Source organism: Homo sapiens, chromosome 5 (assembly GCF_000001405.40).
Source record: "Homo sapiens chromosome 5, GRCh38.p14 Primary Assembly".
In the NCBI taxonomy this organism is placed as follows: domain Eukaryota; kingdom Metazoa; phylum Chordata; class Mammalia; order Primates; family Hominidae; genus Homo; species Homo sapiens.
Window position 1 is genome coordinate 72507930 of NC_000005.10, and position 17015 is coordinate 72524944.

Consider the following 17015-nt stretch of genomic DNA (forward strand, 5'->3'; position numbering starts at 1 on the left):
CTTAGAGTTTTTCCAGGATCAAATAGCAGATTTATGCCCACCGAACTTTATACAGTGGACCCAATCCAGCTTCCATCACTGATGGATGAAAAAGGAAAAGAAGCAACTAACCACAACTGCTGCCGGCCATGGTTATCTCAGATCTGTTGTTTATATTATTCTATCCTCTACATTCCTAAGGCGTCTTGGATTTAATCACCTCTGGAAAACTGGAAGGAGATTTCTAATTTGTTTTCAAAATACTGTGAAGCAGCATAGGGTTTAGATAAATCAGCCATGGTGTTCGAAAAAAGATAGGGGAGGCAGGAGCAGTTAAAATGGAGGGAGTAACCTTTATCAAGGTAGAAGACTTGGGGCTTCAGCAGGCAGGCATGAGCTTGCTTAGGCTAGTTGCACTTAGGAATAAGCTTGGTTTTAACTTCTCTGATTTGTGTTATGTCTCTTGTGTCCCTTATTCATCTGGTTAGGACCATTTTCACTGTGAACAGGAACCAGCAGTTATGTAGACCTTTGTGGCAGCAAAAGAAAAACCAGCCTTACACTACTTCCTCATTTCACCCAACTGTGAAAAAAATGGGGTGGACAGATACACCTGATTGCAAAGAGTCATGAAAGTGAGTTCAGGGGAAGAATGATTCTGATTCAGTGACCCTGTAAGATTTTGATTGAGTCCTTATTGGCCTATAGGATTATGTTTTTATTCTGACAGATATTTTTCTATCATCTATCTGTCTATCTATCATCTATCTATCTATCTATCTATCTATCATCTATCTATCTAATCTATCCATATATCTATCTATCTCCCTGTCTATCTAGTTATCTGAATATGTGTGCATGTATCAGAGAGAGACATGAAGATTTTGTTACTCGGTAGGTGTGCACAAGCCAGAGCAGAGTCCCATTCCTTGCATCCGCCACAGCACCAACACTGGCACAACCCATGGCACTGAGTTCTGGCCTGGGTGACCCAGCCTCACCAACAGTGGGGAACACGGATGACCAGAGACAGTCTCTTTGGTTCGCTTAGAGCCACACGCCAACACGTTCCTGTCTCCTGATCCCGGCTCTCGGGCTCTTTGCCCTCTGCTGGCCTTCCTCTACATCCTGCCTTTGTAGAAATGGGAAGGGAAATGAAAATGAAAATCTGAGAAAGCCAGGGAAGGGCATGAGGGAATGGAGCAGGAAGGCCTAGGAATGGAGTCTTTTAAAGGGGGAGAAACACTGGGGCAAACCTTTGAGTAACCGGAGGTGAAACAAGCAGGCAGCTGAAATTCACAATAAAAAAGCAGACGTCCTTGGGAGTGAGGTGGGGTGAGGAGAAGCAATAGGGAGGGGGCAAGGTGTGCGGGGCATCAGCAGCAGAGGAAAGGAGGGACCCAAGGAACAAGACGCTCATGGTACCAACTCCTCACAGGCAGGAAACCGCCTCTGATCACTTGAAGAATCCATTGCAGCTGCACACAGGCCTTCCCATATTTTTACTCCTCTTTGCACCCTCAAGGCAAGGCCAGGGCTGAGCCCCAGGAGTCCAGGCAGAATCCAAAGGATTTCCCTTTTAAGTCTGCAGAATGTGGGGACTGTCACGTTGAGGCTGTGTTGTTGTCTCCAGGCCAGCTGACCCGCCCAGACAGCCTGGATGGGGACATGTGCCATTTCAGGCTGCACGGCTTTGACTGAATGGGGCAGCATCCAGTCGGGATCTGACATCATCCCCGCAGCCAGCCAGGGGACTCTCAAGGCTGCCTTGTGCCAAGCTGCTCCATGCTCACACCGCGTTGCAACCCTGCCTGTGAAATTCACAGAAAAGGCTTTTCCCTCTTTCCTTGTGCTGCCAGTCACCTGAACAGTCACCCTCTAAAACTTGTGAAACCACCCACTGGGTGTCAGGAGCAGAAATTCCTAACCCTCCCATTAGGTTTGGCAGGACAGATTTCTGATCAGTCCACTGGAGCTCTAACTCTGTCCTGGCCTATCTGGATCCTGACTAAAAGTGAAGGATCCAACTGAGACGCATGAGCAGGAATGGCATATGGCCTTGGCTCTCACCCCTCAGGAAAGCCCCATGTTGCACAGCGTATCATAGAGATCACTTGAGTAGAGAGAGGAGCTGCCCACCCCTGGGACGAGATAGGAGGACAGGAGAGAAACCTAGGTGAGGACAGTGCTGTGACCCTAACCCTCAGAACCAGCACCACAGAAATAGGTGCTCTACTCAAAATGGCGTCCTGCCTCTGAAGCGTCCTAATTTGTATGGCACCAGCTTCCAATGACACAGACTCTGGGGTTATCTGTTGACTCCCAGACTAACTTGACTTCAGGTCATGGAGGTAGCAGCGTAGGAGAAAATGGAGAAAGGTTTGGAATAGAACATATTCTTCAGAAAAGTACACAAAACGTAAGTGTACCGGTCAGGGAACTTCACAAAAGGAACATATCTGAGTAGCCAGCCCTCAGATTAAGAAAGAGGACAGAGGCCCCCCAAGCCCCTCCTGTCACTACCTCCTCTCAGGTGCCCTGACTTCCAGCACCTGACATGGATGCACATTACCTGGTTTTGAATTTACATGAAAATGGCATTGGCTTGCACTTCATTTGGTTTCTTTGCCTCGATAGTATATTCATGGGATTCGTCCCTATTGTTGAGTGTAGCTGTGGCTCATTCGCTCTCATTGCTGGATAGGGTTTCATTCTGTGAATATACCACCATTTAGATGTCTGTTCTACTTAACACAGACATTGGATTGTTTCTAGTTTGGAGCCATTACAAATGGGCTGCCAGGAATATTCTTGTCCCTGCCAGATGTCTTTTTAGAAGCCTGATGCAGGACTCATCTCTCTCCAGGAAGATTGGCCACTCCAGTGACTCAGTCTTTCTGTTTGGTATCCTTTGGCACTCACTTCCTCTCAAAGGGGATGCATAGCATAGATTTAAAAAAAGAAATCAAATGACTTTGATTTGAGGACACGGCCATGCCTTTGGAGACACTGGCAGAGTTCCTGAGGCGCTTGGGCACTGGTTAGGAGCCACTGTTCTCACTTCCTGCAGCAACCTGGAGATGCTAGTTCCTGCTGCTCTGAGTCATGCTCCAGCGGCTCCCCATCTCCACTACAGATTCGATGGAAAATGTGTCTCTCCTCCCCGCTCTGGGCTTCTCACGAACATGCTGAGTTTTGTTATATGAAAGTGCAGGGGGGATGGCGCAGTCCCCGGCCTGAAACTGCTTTGAAACTTCCTTAGTTTCTTTGATTTATTGTCTTCAACTTGCCAAACCCCCAAAGCCTCCAAGTCCCAACTCTCAAAAATGTGAGAATGTTCATTTCTTTTTTCCTTTTAAATTTTTTTTTAGCATGAAAAGATAATATGAAGGATTCATTTAGACAAGTTATTGAAGAAAGTCTATTTTATGCATCCAGTTTTTTCATATGACAAGTGGGGATAAGAACACATCTATTTTGTACAGTATTTGGAGTAAATAAGAATAGGTTAACATCTTTCACATACTTACCATGTGCCAGACACTTCTAAACACTTCACACATCAAACCAACTTAGTCATCACAACAGTCCTATGAAGTAGGTGCTATTATCGTCCACCATCCCCCTGCCCTTTTTACAGATGAAGGAACTGAGTAATGGAGACATCATACTACCTCCTTGATACCACACAAATAGTAGATTTCAAACCCAGGAAATTCTGGCTCGGAGCCCTAATTTTTAACCACAAAGCTAACATACCTTGCTCTCTAAACTAGCACTGCATGTCGCATAGTAAAAACTAATGACTGCTCCCTAAAATTGGAGAACCACAGGTTTATAATAGACACAAAGGTTCATTGGGCAACCCTTTAATAAGCATGTCTTATGGACCAGGAAGCCCCATGCTAGGTGTGGTTAACGTGCTTCTGGATTTTATTGCCTCGTAGAGGAGAGATACGTTAAATAAATCAAACAAACCATACCTGAATACCTAAACAGTTACCACGGCAGTCAGTGCTCTGAAGATTAAGTCTGGGAGTTACAAGAGCATATAGCAGGGGACCAAATCTGGGCAAGAAGGTCAGGAGGCTCTTCCTGAAAATGGCATGTCAGCTGAGACCTCAAGAATGAGCATGAGTCAGGGAAGATGGTGAGGAGCAGCTCATGCAAGGGCCAGTCAGACAGGTCTGGGTTCAGATTGTGACCTTGATCCTGAGAAGGGTGGGAAATCATTAAAGATTTTACTAAGGGTATAGAATGATCAGGTTTGCATTTCAGAAAGACTATTTTTGGTCACTGTGCAAAGAATGAAGGAGGACAAGAGTGGGAGCAGATGAGCAGCTGTAAAAATCTAGGCTAAGTTCAATCCTGCCAATAGGGCCTATCAAGAGACATAGGTGGGCGTGTTGTAACCACCCAGTGGGTTCACTTTGCCTGCTGCCTAGACAGAGCCCATTTATCAAGACAGGGGAATTGCAGTGGAGAAAGAGTAATTCACACAGAGCTGGCTGTGAGGGAGACTGGAGATTTTTTATTACTCAAATCAGTCTTGCCAAGCATTTGGGGATTGGAGTTTTAAAAGATAATTTGGCGGGTAGGGGCTTGGGAAGTGGGGAGTGCTGATTGGTCAGGTTGGAGATGGAATCACAGGGGGTGGAAGTCAGGTTTTCTTGCTGTCTTCTGTTCCTGGGTGGGATGGCAGAACTGGTTGAGCCAGATTACCAGTCTAGGTGGTGTCAGCTGATCCACCCAGTGCAGGGTCTGCAAACTATCTCAAACACTGATCTTAGGTTGTACAACAGTGATGTTATCCCCAGAAGCAATTTGGGGAGGCTCAGTCTCTTGGAGCCAGAGGCTACATGACCCATAAACTGTAATTTCTAATCTTATAGCTAATTTGTTAGTCCTGCAAAGGTAGACTGGTCCCCAGGCAAGAAGGGGGTCTTTTCCAGAAAGGGCTATTTTCAATTTTGTTTCAGAGTCAAACCATGAACTGAATTCCTTCCCAAAGTTAGTTCAGCCTATGCCCAGGAATGAACAAGGACAGCTTAAAGGTTAGAAGCAAGACGGAGTCAATTAGGTCTGATTTCTTTCACTGTCGTAATTTCCTCAGTTATAATTTTTGCAAAGGCGGTTTCAATGTCAGTGCCTGGAGAGGTCATAGGACAACCAAGTTTGAGAGCTGTGCTCAGATGTTGTATGACAAGAGTCTATTGGAGAATTAATATAGGCAATGCCTGGCCTAAGAATAACTGGCTTATGAAAGCTTCCTACTTTCAAACAGCAACATCTACCATTGCCCTGCCATCCCCAATTTCCAGAGCCTCCAAAGCTGAGTGCCTACCCTCCTTTATTCCACCCCAGCCTCCTGTCTGTTTGCCTTGCCTTGCTGTCATTGTCCCATGTCTAAATTTCTCAATACTCACCCAACAGAGAGCTCCTTTTCCTTTAACACACACCCAGTGCTGTTACCAAAAAGCTAGTGGCATCCTCCAAGCTAGCCCAGGAGTGGTAAGTGGGAGGGATGGAGTAGAACTCAGTGTTTGAACTACTAGCATTGGGGAAAATGTACCCCAGGCGTTCCATGTAGAACCCAGGCTGAAATTTCTAAGAAAACTGTTACACTTTGTAGATTGCTGGTGTTATAACAGAGTTCCAGCACATATGGTTTTAAGAACTAGTCTGGGGATATAGGAAAGAAACTCTCAGTTTTTCCTGCTATGCTTTCACAACACAGAACACTTCTGACACCAGATGTATGAGAGTTTTCCCCACACACCTAGGAATCAACCAATTCTTCAGTAGACACCAGTAGGGTGTCCTAATTCAATTCAGTGTCCACACTATCTACCTAGAGACAGTATCAGATCCCACAAGTTGAGGATTCAGTCCTATGATACTTTCCTCCACTTCAGATGCCAATCAAAAGCCCCAGGTTGTTTCACCTGTACTTCTGACTAATCAGCTATAAATCAGTATGCCCATGACCCCCTCCTCAGGTTCAATTAATTTGCTAGAGTAGCTCACAGAACTCAGGTTACTTACATTTACTAGTTTATTATTAAGGATATTACAAAGGATACCAATGAACACCAGATGAAGAGTTGGATAGGGCAAAATATGGAAGAAGGAGGGCGAAACTTCCATGTCCTCTCTGGGCATGCCATCCAGAAGCTCTCAAACCCAGTCCTTTTGGGTTTTTATGAAAGTTTCATTATATTGGCATGATTGGGTAAGTCATTGGCCATTGATATCAATTTAACCTTCAGCCCCTCTCCCCTTCCTGGAGGTAGGGGGGTGAGGCTGAGAGTCCCAATTCTGTAATTACAACTTGGTCTTTCCTGTGACCAGCCCCCATTCTGAAGCTACCTTGGGCTGCCGGCCACCAGTCAACTCATTAGCATACCAAAAGACACATCATTTTGAAGATTCCAAGGATTTTAGGAGTTGTATGCCAGGAAATGAGGACCAAGGCCAAATATATATTTCACCATATCACAACTGGCTTGCGGACTTAACCACCAAGGAACATGCAGTCTGAGCTCCAAATATCTGGTATGAGCAAACAAACATTTTTAAGTTGGGGAATGGCTGTAGTCATACTACAAGTAAAACAAGTCCTCCTTGTTTACTCTTTTTTTTTTTTTTTTTTTTTTGAGACAGAGTCTCGCTCTGTTGCCCAGGCTGGAGTGCAATGGCACAATCTCAGCTCACTGCAACCTCTGCCTCCCAGGTTCAAGTGATCCTCCTGCCTCAGCCACCACTAGTAGCTGGGATTACAGGCACGTGCCACCATGCACAGCTAATTTTTGTGTTTTTAGTAGAGACAGGGTTTCATCATGTTGGCCAGGCTGGTCTCGAACTCCTGACCTCAGATAATCTGCCTGCCTCAGCCTCCCAAAGTGCTGGGATTACAGGCATGACCTTGTTTATTCTCTCTTGGATTGCTTGCTTTGGGGGTAAATTAGCAGCCATGTCATGAGGATACCCAGGTAACCCATGGAGAGATCCACATGGAGAGAAACGGAGGGCTCCTACTAACAGCCTTTTGAGTGCACTGTCAACTGTGGGTTTATTATTAGGCTAATCATTCTCCAGTATTCATTTCCGTAATTTAGTAAAGCTCACCTTTTCACAGTCTCCTCCAGAGAGGTTGTAAAGCCTTTTCCTCTGCTTGTAGGCTCTCTTCAAGCATTCTAAATGCTTATTTATGTGTCTGTGGCACACCAGGGACAGGAAATAACTTTATTTATTTTTATACATTAAATTAAATATGATTAGAGTTCCCCTCCTTGACAAAGTTGGCTAACAGTTCTATATCATTATTTTTAATGGATCCCACATGGATCCTTCCTTAGGTAGTCCCAGACCTAGGGCTCAGGCAGTTTCAGGAAGACAGCACCGAGCCTTTATCCACGCTGGGTCATTCATGGTCCTCTCAAGGGGGCTGGTTCCCCTGGTGACTCTACACACTCAGTGTCAAGTTCCACCACAAGAATGTCTGCCAAATCTATTTGACTATTGCCTCACGCCCAGATCGCCACAGTTGCCCCTGTCATCTCTACAGTCCTATGCAGGTGTAATGCAAGGTTGCTGCCACTCTAAGAAAACCCACAACGTGTCTCATTTCCCAATCTTCTGGGATTCAACTCACACCAGGGGTCAGGCTTCTTTCTTCAATTCCATTGCCATGTCTTCCAGTCTCATTAAATCTAGATCAGTATTTAGCTCTAAACTCAACTTTTTAAATCATCCAAGCAGGTAACACACATGTGTTAAATAAGTGTGCTATGTTTAATACAGAGGATTTGGTGGGGAGTATGGCAAATTAAAGAGTTTGTGTTCAATATAAAGTGTTTTGTGAGCACATAGGCCTAGTGTGACCATATTTTTTTTAAAAAGTAAGAAAAAAATCTGAATACTTATGTGGAATCTACAATTTAAAAATTTTAGAATTGGGCCAGACATGGTGGCTCAGGCTTGTAATCCCAACACTTTGGGCAGCCAAGACCATAGAATTGCTTGAGGCCAGGAGTTTGAAACCAGCCTGGTCAACATAGCAAGACCCGTCTCTACAGGAGAAAAATAAGAAAATTAATTTAATTTTTTTTTTTTGATGGAGTCTCACTCTGTCACCCAGGCTGGAGTGCAGTGGCCCAATCTTGGCTCACCGCAAGCTCCGCCTCCCAGGTTCACGCCATTCTCCTGCCTCAGCCTCCCCAGTAGCTGGGACTACAGCTGCCCACCGCCACACCCGGCAAATTTTTTGTATATTTTTAGTAGAGACGGGGTTTCACCATGTTAGCCAGGATGGTCTCGATCTCCTGACCTCATGATCCGCCTGCCTTGGCCTCCCAAAGTGCTGGGATTACAGGCATGAGCCACTGCGCCTGGCCAAAAAATAAGAAAATTAGCTGGGCAGAGTGGTGCACGCCTGTGGTCCCAGCTACTTGGGAGGCTGAGGTGAGAGGATTGCTTGAGCCTGGGAGGTCAAGGATGCAGTGAGCAGTGATAACCCCGCTGCACTCAAGCCTTGGCAACAGAGCAAGACCCTCTCAAAATAAAATAAAATAAAATAACTTAAGAAAAAAATAAATTATATGTGTGAAGGGGACCTAGTGTTAGGGTTTTAAAATACGTCCCCAAATTCTTTGATGTTCCTTTCTTTGAGAGATGACATCTAATTACCTATCCTTTCAGTGTGAGTTGGACATAAAAGCAGGATAAGGCAGAAGTGACAGTAAGGGACTTAGAAGACATAGTCACTGAAGGCATTGGGGTTCCCTCCTTTTTTACACTTTCTTGGATTGCTTGCTTTGGGGGGAAATTAGCAGCCATGTCATGAGGATACCCAAGTAATCTATGGAGAGGGCCACATGGAGAGAAACTGAGGCTCCCACTAACAGCCTTTTGAGTGCACTGTCTTGGCAATGGATCCAGCATCCAGCCCAGTCACACTTTTAGACCATGGCAGCCCCTGCCACACTGAATGCAACCTCATCAGAGATCCTCAGCCAAACCACTCAGATAAGCTGTTTCTGAATTCCTGCCCTATAGAAACTATAAGATAATAAACATTTATTTTAAAACCAGCAAGTGTTGGTATAATTTGTTATGTAACAAAAGATAAGTGATATACTCAGCAGCTGAGAGGCTGCTAGTTTACAATTTTGGCTCTAACTTTTCAAACCAAATATCCCAGGTGGGAATATTCACAGGTGGGTGGCTCTCAAAGTTTGACTCTGAAACTGACTAAGGCTGTTAACTGCTGCATCCACCTTCACCACACCACCAACCAAGGGGTCTGCTGTAAAATAGTCACGTATTTTTTCACCACCCTGTATCGTATATGAGATAACAAAAAAGTGAATGTATTAGTGTCCCTTTGTAGACTACAAGCCACAGGAGTTTAACTCACCAACTACGCCATCGACTTGTTTATTTCTTTCCCACATTTGTTAGTGAGTGGAGGTGATGCTGTCTAGGCAAGTTTTCTTTTTAGGTGTCTTTTCTTCATAGATTTTACATTACCATGGGTTAGAAGATAAGCAGCTAATTTGCTTTAGATGGTGACTATACCTAGTGTTGCAAGTCCTTAACGAATGCCAGTTAATACTCTGAAGGCTAGATGTTGAAAAGATGTTATTTTGTTTAAAGGAGAAAAAAAATCAACAGAACTCTTTCACCAAAAAATAATCCTCCTTGGAAACAAATTCAAACAACAGAATGTAAGCTTCATGGGAATCAGACTTTGCTGGGTCACTGCTGTATTCCGGTGTCTGGAAGACACTTGGCATGTGAAATTTGTTCAACAAGCAACTTTGAATGAATGAATATGTGAGTAAATGAGACCAAAGAGAAGAGGCTTCACTTGGAGGAGGAGGATGTTTCTGTCCATGGGGCATTCGCCTTGCCCCACCCCTTCACCCACCTCGCTCTCAAAATATCATCATCAATGAGACACATTTGAGGTAGGCTAAGACTTCTTAAGAAATCTGGTTTGAAATCCAAAGAGTGGGAAGAACACCTTCAGACTAGATAAGAATAGATCTGGCTTCTACCCCCGGTCCTGACCACAAGGCCCTGGAAGTAGGCCTCTGCCACACTTCTTCAGTCCTAATTTCTTCCTCTGCAAAACGAGATCGAAGCTTCCAGCCTTAACACCAGAGGTTTCATGAGTCTGTCCCAAGCTTCCCCTTTTTTTTAACACCCTCCCCGAAGGAGGCGGGTCGCTGCTTGTGAGATGCTTTGAAGCTAAAAAACCCAAGGCCTCAGAGCGATGTGACCAGAGGCGCACAGCTTGGCACATGACCTGATATGACTGATGTTCAAAGCAGCTGTCAGTGAATAGAGGCAGCACGCACAAAGGAGCCAGCCAAAAATAATGAGAGCGGTGAAAAGAAAAAAAAAAGAAAAGAAAAGAAAGAAACACAGCAGGGCAAGGCTCCAGGGTCACTTGTGTTTCCTCTGGTCTAACCTCCTCTCTCTCCTCCACCCAGTCCTCAAACAACCCCCTCCTGCCTCCTCCAGAAGAAAAGTTAAAAGCTTTCTTTTGGAAACAGAGTAGTTTGCTTAGACTGCTGCTGTTTACCTTTGGTAGGACAGCCATTGGCGGTGAGTTCAAACACAGGAAAAGGCCTGTGTTCCAGGAAGAGCTGCAGACGGGCTGAAAGACCGGCCATAATGTTGCTGGATTGCACTATTCCCCACTGGTGTTCAGCCTGGGATCACACCAGGCCCTTGCCTCAACCTCAGGCAACCAGCCTCCAGCTATTTCTTGGACTACTACCTTCCCTTGGGAATATTGCCCCTAAAACAAGATGGTGTGGGATGGAGGGATGAAGAAGTAAGGGAGGGGCAATAAAAAGAGAAAAAGAGGCTTACACTACAAACAAAAACACAATAGCCTTATTTCTAGTCTAGTATGAAAAACATAATTATAACAAGCAGCAAACTTTGGGTTTACATTTGGAGGTTTTGTTATTTATTTGTTTTCAATTATTAACATCATCCTCTATGAACTAAGAGGTCCACATTTGTCAAAACAAGGCCACACATTCCCCAAGGCAGCTACCTCCAGACATCTCTGATCTATTGGTGAAAAGGAAGGGAAAGAATCTACCTCCCTATGTTTCAAAGTGATCCACCCTGAATAGGGTTATGCTAAATTGTGGGAGAAAGGAGGGAAAGCATATGAGGAAATACATGCTGTAAGGATCAAAATCTTCTGGGCCTTCCCCATTCCCCCCAGATTTCTTTCTGCTAATTCCATTTCAAAAACTCCCTTGGCTCCAAGGCACTAGATTCTCTGGTTGGGTCATTCTCAAGATTACCATGAGGATCTCACTTCTCTTTCCCTGATTTTAGAGTTATTTATGTCAAAATCTTTCTGTCTTCCAGAGAGCTCACAGCATCCTGTCTCCTCCAGAAGCTCTTCCCCAGCTGAAATGGAAGTGAAAGACTGGTAGTCTCCTCCTCAACCACCCACCTCCTGGGGCCCTGACTGTGTGGATGAACTCCTCACACCCAGGATTTGTGTCTCCAGTGAAAAGCAGCAATTTATCCTACACTGAAAATTTCCTGAATAAAAACAGTTCATGAAACTCTGGATGTAGTATTTTATTTGGTGTAGAATGAGTCTACAATAAGATCCTTTGTGTTCTCTGGTTTTTAGCAGTTTGACTCTGATGTTCCTGTGTGTGTGTGGGCATGTGTAGGTGTGTGTTTAATCCTCTTCTGCTTGGGGATTGCTCTCCTTCCTAAATTTGTAACTTTATGCCTTTCTCTAAATTTGAATAATTTTCACCTTTTACTTTTTTTCAAATATTTTTTCTGACCAATTTTTTTCTCTTCTCCTTCTCAGACTCCAGTTACATACGTATTAGACCTATTGATATTGTCCACTGTTCCCAGAGGACCTGCCCATTGTTTTTCAATGTCTCTTCTCTCTGTTCTGCACATTGAATAACTTCTATTGAATGATTTTAAAGCTTACTAACTTTTCTGTTATTTCTATTTTACTGTTAAGGCCAATCAGTAAATTTTTTATTTTAGATACTGTAATTTTTAATTCTAGAATTTTTATTTGGTTCTTTTAAGAAAAAAATAGTTTTTAGTTCTTTATTGAGCTTTCTTATCTTTTCATTCATTAGGAATATGTTTTTCTTTATGTCCTTAAGTATAGCTACAATAACCACTTTAAAATCTAGTCTGCCAATTCTATCACCTGTATTATCTTCAAATTGTTCTTTTTTCTCTTCAGAATGGGTCTTTTTTTTTCTTCAAATGTTGAGCAATTTTGGAATGTATTCTGTCTATTATAAATGATATATTGAAGAGACTCTGTATTCTGTTATGCTGTTCTAAAGAATATTGTGCAGCTTTTTCTAGGCAGGCAGGTATCTTGGCTGAATTCAAATTGCAAATTCTGTATGCCCTGAAGTAGGCAGCAGCTCAAATCCAAGTTGTTTTCTTAGCCTCAGCTGAGAGGCCTGAGCTCTGTCCCACAAATGTGAGACATAGGGTTCAACCAGAAATTTCTAGGCAACATTTGGGTGTCCTCTCTTTCTCCCTCTCTCTCTCTCTTTCTCTCTCTTTCTTTCTCTCTGATTATCTCCTTCATGGAATTTCCCTCTTATTTTCAAGAAGCTGTGGCCACCTTGAACTCTGACATTTGGTTCTGCAAGCCAGGAAAACTGTGGGTTTCTATCTGAGTTTCAGTGACCCCCCATGTCGCACCAGCTATAGCCTGCTCTCAGGATAAAAGCTACAAAAAAGAAAAACATAAAACTTAACTCGTGGTATTTCCTTCTTCAAGTATAGACTCTTCTGTAATATCTGCCTGTTTTTATTTGCCCTCAGATATTTTTCTATTTTTCTGAAGTTTTAAATTATTATCTGCAGAAAAGTTGGGTAGGTAGGGGTTTATTACTATAAAAGGGAGTATAACTTTTATTCTTTTGCTTCTTGGACAAATAACTATTCAAATATTTTCTAAGACTTAGTCAATTTTGCTCTTTAGCAAATAGTTTCTGTCTCAGTTTTCTATTTATTTTCTCATGGTTCTATGGGTCAGCAGTTGGGGCTGGGATTGATGGGCAGCTCTTCTGCTGGTCTTGTTTATTGTTACCTAGGTGGTTGCATTCTTCCAGTGGCTTGACTGGGATTATATGGTCGAAGACATTCTCACTCACTGGCAATCGATGCAAGAAGTTGGCTGGGCCTCTCTTCTCATGTCGTCTCTCATTCTCAAGAAGGCTATCCCAGACTTTTTCACATAAATGTCTCAGGGTTCTAGGAGGGTAAGAGTGGATGCTACATAGGCTCTTGAAGCCTGCAATTAAAACATACAGTGTCATTTCCACCACAAAGCAGGTCATAAGGCTATCCAGATATAAGAGAATGAAGATTAGACTGTATTTGTGCATATATAGATAGGAGGAATTTGTGGTCATTTCTTACAATCCAGCACATTAATATAAAAAATGCTATTATGCAACAATAATGGTAACAATCTTATTAAAATTTAACCCCCTTTGTGATCTATCACCATACTCACTGTGAGGCATCCAGATGAAGAAGAGTTGGATGCTTTTCTTCATGCTGTTTTATACCTAGGGAAAATGAGGAATTGAGATGTTAAGTAGATTTACCAAGATTGCAGAGGCAGTGATAGATAGAGCCAGGATATATAATGTTTAGTATATAAGTATGTATGATGGAGAAAAGCGAAAAACAAGAAGAGATTAAGAAATGCAGGAATAGGGTGGGGGAGTTTGCAATTTTAAATAGGATATATAGGAAAGTCTTCATTGAGAAGATGAGGATAGAGAAAAGACCTGAAAGAGGCCAGGGAAGGGGAATACACTTTCATTCAGTGGGATGAATAAGCACACTTGGTGGGATATGATATTATGTATGTATGTTATATATAGATCACTGAATCTTCCATTATATTTTTATGAGTTGGTAAAGCACACATTTATCATACTGAATATCAAACACCTGAAGTAGTCACGACTTAAAATTATATTATAAACAATTTCATATCATACCGGATTGGGTCTTTAAAGGGACTTGATAAATGCTACATAACAATTTTGGTTCTGTAGGATATGTTTTATATATATATATATATATATATATATATATATATATATATATATATATATGTATTCTTGGTATATATAAAGTGCTTTATAGTGACTAACAATTTCATAAACATAAAGTAGAAATAGAAAGCTATGAAAGATATTTTTCCTGCTGATAAATACATAAACTGAAACTTCTACTCACAATAATTGATGATTAGAAAATTTGGACCAATCCTCCCACTAAGGAAACATAAAGAACTGAATGAAATATAAAAAAAACTTCTTAAAAGAATCAAAGTATTAACAATATATTGAGGAATTACAAAAAGAAAATCAAGAAGAGGAGAACCTAGAGAGTAAAACCAACATCTGAATCTGATTTTGCTCTAAGAACATTTGCTAAGCCTAAAGAAATTCATTTTTGGTAAATTCCTGGGGCCAGGAGGCAAAAGGCAAGACCTGTAATCCACCAGAAGTCAGGATTTTAATAAATCATGACCATTTTAAATTGGGATCCCAAAGGATCCAGGTAAGGTAAATCATGAGTAAGCTAATCCCTGCAAAGAATTTTGATTTGGCTTTATGTCATTCGGGTGGTCCAGGAAACTGCAAGCCTTGAACTTGGTTTAAGATAGACCCAGACTGGTAGCACCTCAAGTGTCTGGCAGAGGCAGAGGAAAATCCTCTTTGGAAGAAGATGATGTTACGCTAGGCCTCAAATTATTGTGAAAATTAGTACAAATAATCTTTAAAACACAATGTCCAACACATTGTCAAAAACAACCAGTCATACATGGAAACAGAGTTCACTGAACAACACCAGCAGAAACAACAGACAACACAAATAGACCCATAATGACTGGAAATAATGTCTGTTGGAATTATTAGTCACAAACTATAAAATAACTCTGCTGTGTTTGAAGAAGAAAACAGACAGAATAAACTAAAGGCAATGTTTTAAGATATGATAGCCAAGAATATTAAGGACTAATAGAAGACATCAATCAATAGATTCAAGAAGCCTAATAGAGCTTACACAATATAAATTTAAAGAACAGCACTGCCAGAAACTTTATAGTGAAACCATAGGAAACCAAAGAAACTGAACTGTAAGCCCACCATATACTAAAAGCAGCCATAAAGAAAAGGACATATTATCTTTAAAGAAATAAAATTAAATCGACAGCTGACTTTTAAAAGTTAATAATTGAAGTCAGAAGACAGTAAAATAGTATTGTCAACATGTTCACAGAAAATAATTGCTCACTTAGATTTCTATTCCCAGGAGATATTCTATTTATTAATATATTGTTATATTATATATCCATTTATATTATATATGGTAAAGATAAATACTTTTTTCTAAAAAACTGAGAGTTTGGAAAATTTTAAAGGATTATTTAAGGGATAAGTAAAATGATCCAGATGGAAAATCTGAGATTCAGGAAGTGAAGACCAAAAAACAATAAAAATATATTATAGAATTTTAAAATTACATAGGATTTTAAATTGTGACAAGCGCCAATTAATTGGGATGTAGATAGATGGGATTGAAGTGTTCTAAGCTTTCTGAATTGTATAGGCCAATGATAGAGATTAACATTTATATTATATTTGGATAAGTTAGCAATGAAAGGTTAAAAATAAAATAATAAATAGAAAACAATAATAATTTTTAGGCCAGCCACTAAAAGAATAGTTATTGCAAATCTTCCAAAATAGTAAAGGGGAAGACTAATGATTAAAATATCTTAGTTGATCCCAAAGAAGTCAAGAGATGAGAAAAAGAATCATAGAAGAGGTAGAACATATCAATCATGAAATAAGATGCTAGATTAAAACCCAAATTTATCAGTGATTCCATTAAATGTAAATGAGCTAGCCTTACTATTCCTAATAAATATTTCCTAATAAATGTGCATTAAAGGGCTGTGGGGAATATTGGAGAATGCCCTGAGCTGAGGATAGGAGGCCTGAATTCTAGTCCTTCTTTAGTCATCAGCTAACCATGGAATTCTGAGCAGTTCTCTGGACTTCAGCTCACACAGGAAATTAGGACATTAGGTTGGATAATGGATGAACTTCATTTAGTCCTTTTAGACTTAGAGATTATTCTCATGACCTCTTTGCTTAGGTTCCAGGTCTTAAGACAGCCTCTTGTTGAAGGAAGGGACGCCCTCTGCTGAGATAAAACTGAATTCTCTTAAGCTTCATTTATCTCACTTGGCAAGATATCTTAAGTGACATATGGAAATGTTACACATTAGAGGTGGCAAAGGTGTGATAAATACTTTTTTAAAATGACTATTCATATTGATGCCAGAATCTCCAATATTGATTAACTTGGATTCGCAACTGAAAAATCTTATTCACTGGTCTCTAAAGACAGGTTTGCAGAACTTCCAAAGTTATTTATATTCATCCTCCCCCATAAGCAATCTAGATTGATCAACATTTAGTATACATAATGGCACTGGTACTCTCACTTGGTCCATATATAAGCTGGTCATGGGTCACAAACAGAACTTGAGTTATCCTGAAGGAAAAGTGGGAATTCACACCGTGAAGAGGTTGACTGTTATACTACCGTTCTTTCACTGGTGTTTAGTGTATTGTGACACAATACAGTTTGTATGTTGTCAACTAACAATTTTTTAAAAGACTCCTGCCCTCTAAATTACAAACTAAATAGAATTACAAGTTAAATAGAATAATAAGTTAAATCAAATAATAGTGCAATTAATAATAATGCAGTTAATAATTCTGCAAAGAATAAGAAAATGGCAAAGCAGACATTTTTCCTACTCCTTCAATCATATTACAAAGTAAAAATAATGATAATTGAATCAGATCCACAAAGAAGCCTACACAGAGGCCAAAGTGTATTGAACTCCACCAAGAAGTTTATTTGAAGTATAGATTTAACCCATCAATTAATGGAAA

At 41.2% G+C, this 17015-nt stretch overlaps 1 annotated feature.

Moving 5' to 3' along the window:
* Window positions 16093-16387: a silencer, noted in NCBI's record as "tiled region #3669; HepG2 Repressive DNase matched - State 13:Ctcf". NCBI's record gives its function as "represses a minimal TATA promoter and a strong SV40 promoter by Sharpr-MPRA in HepG2 cells {active_cell/tissue: HepG2}" and the evidence as "EXISTENCE:reporter gene assay evidence [ECO:0000049][PMID:27701403]".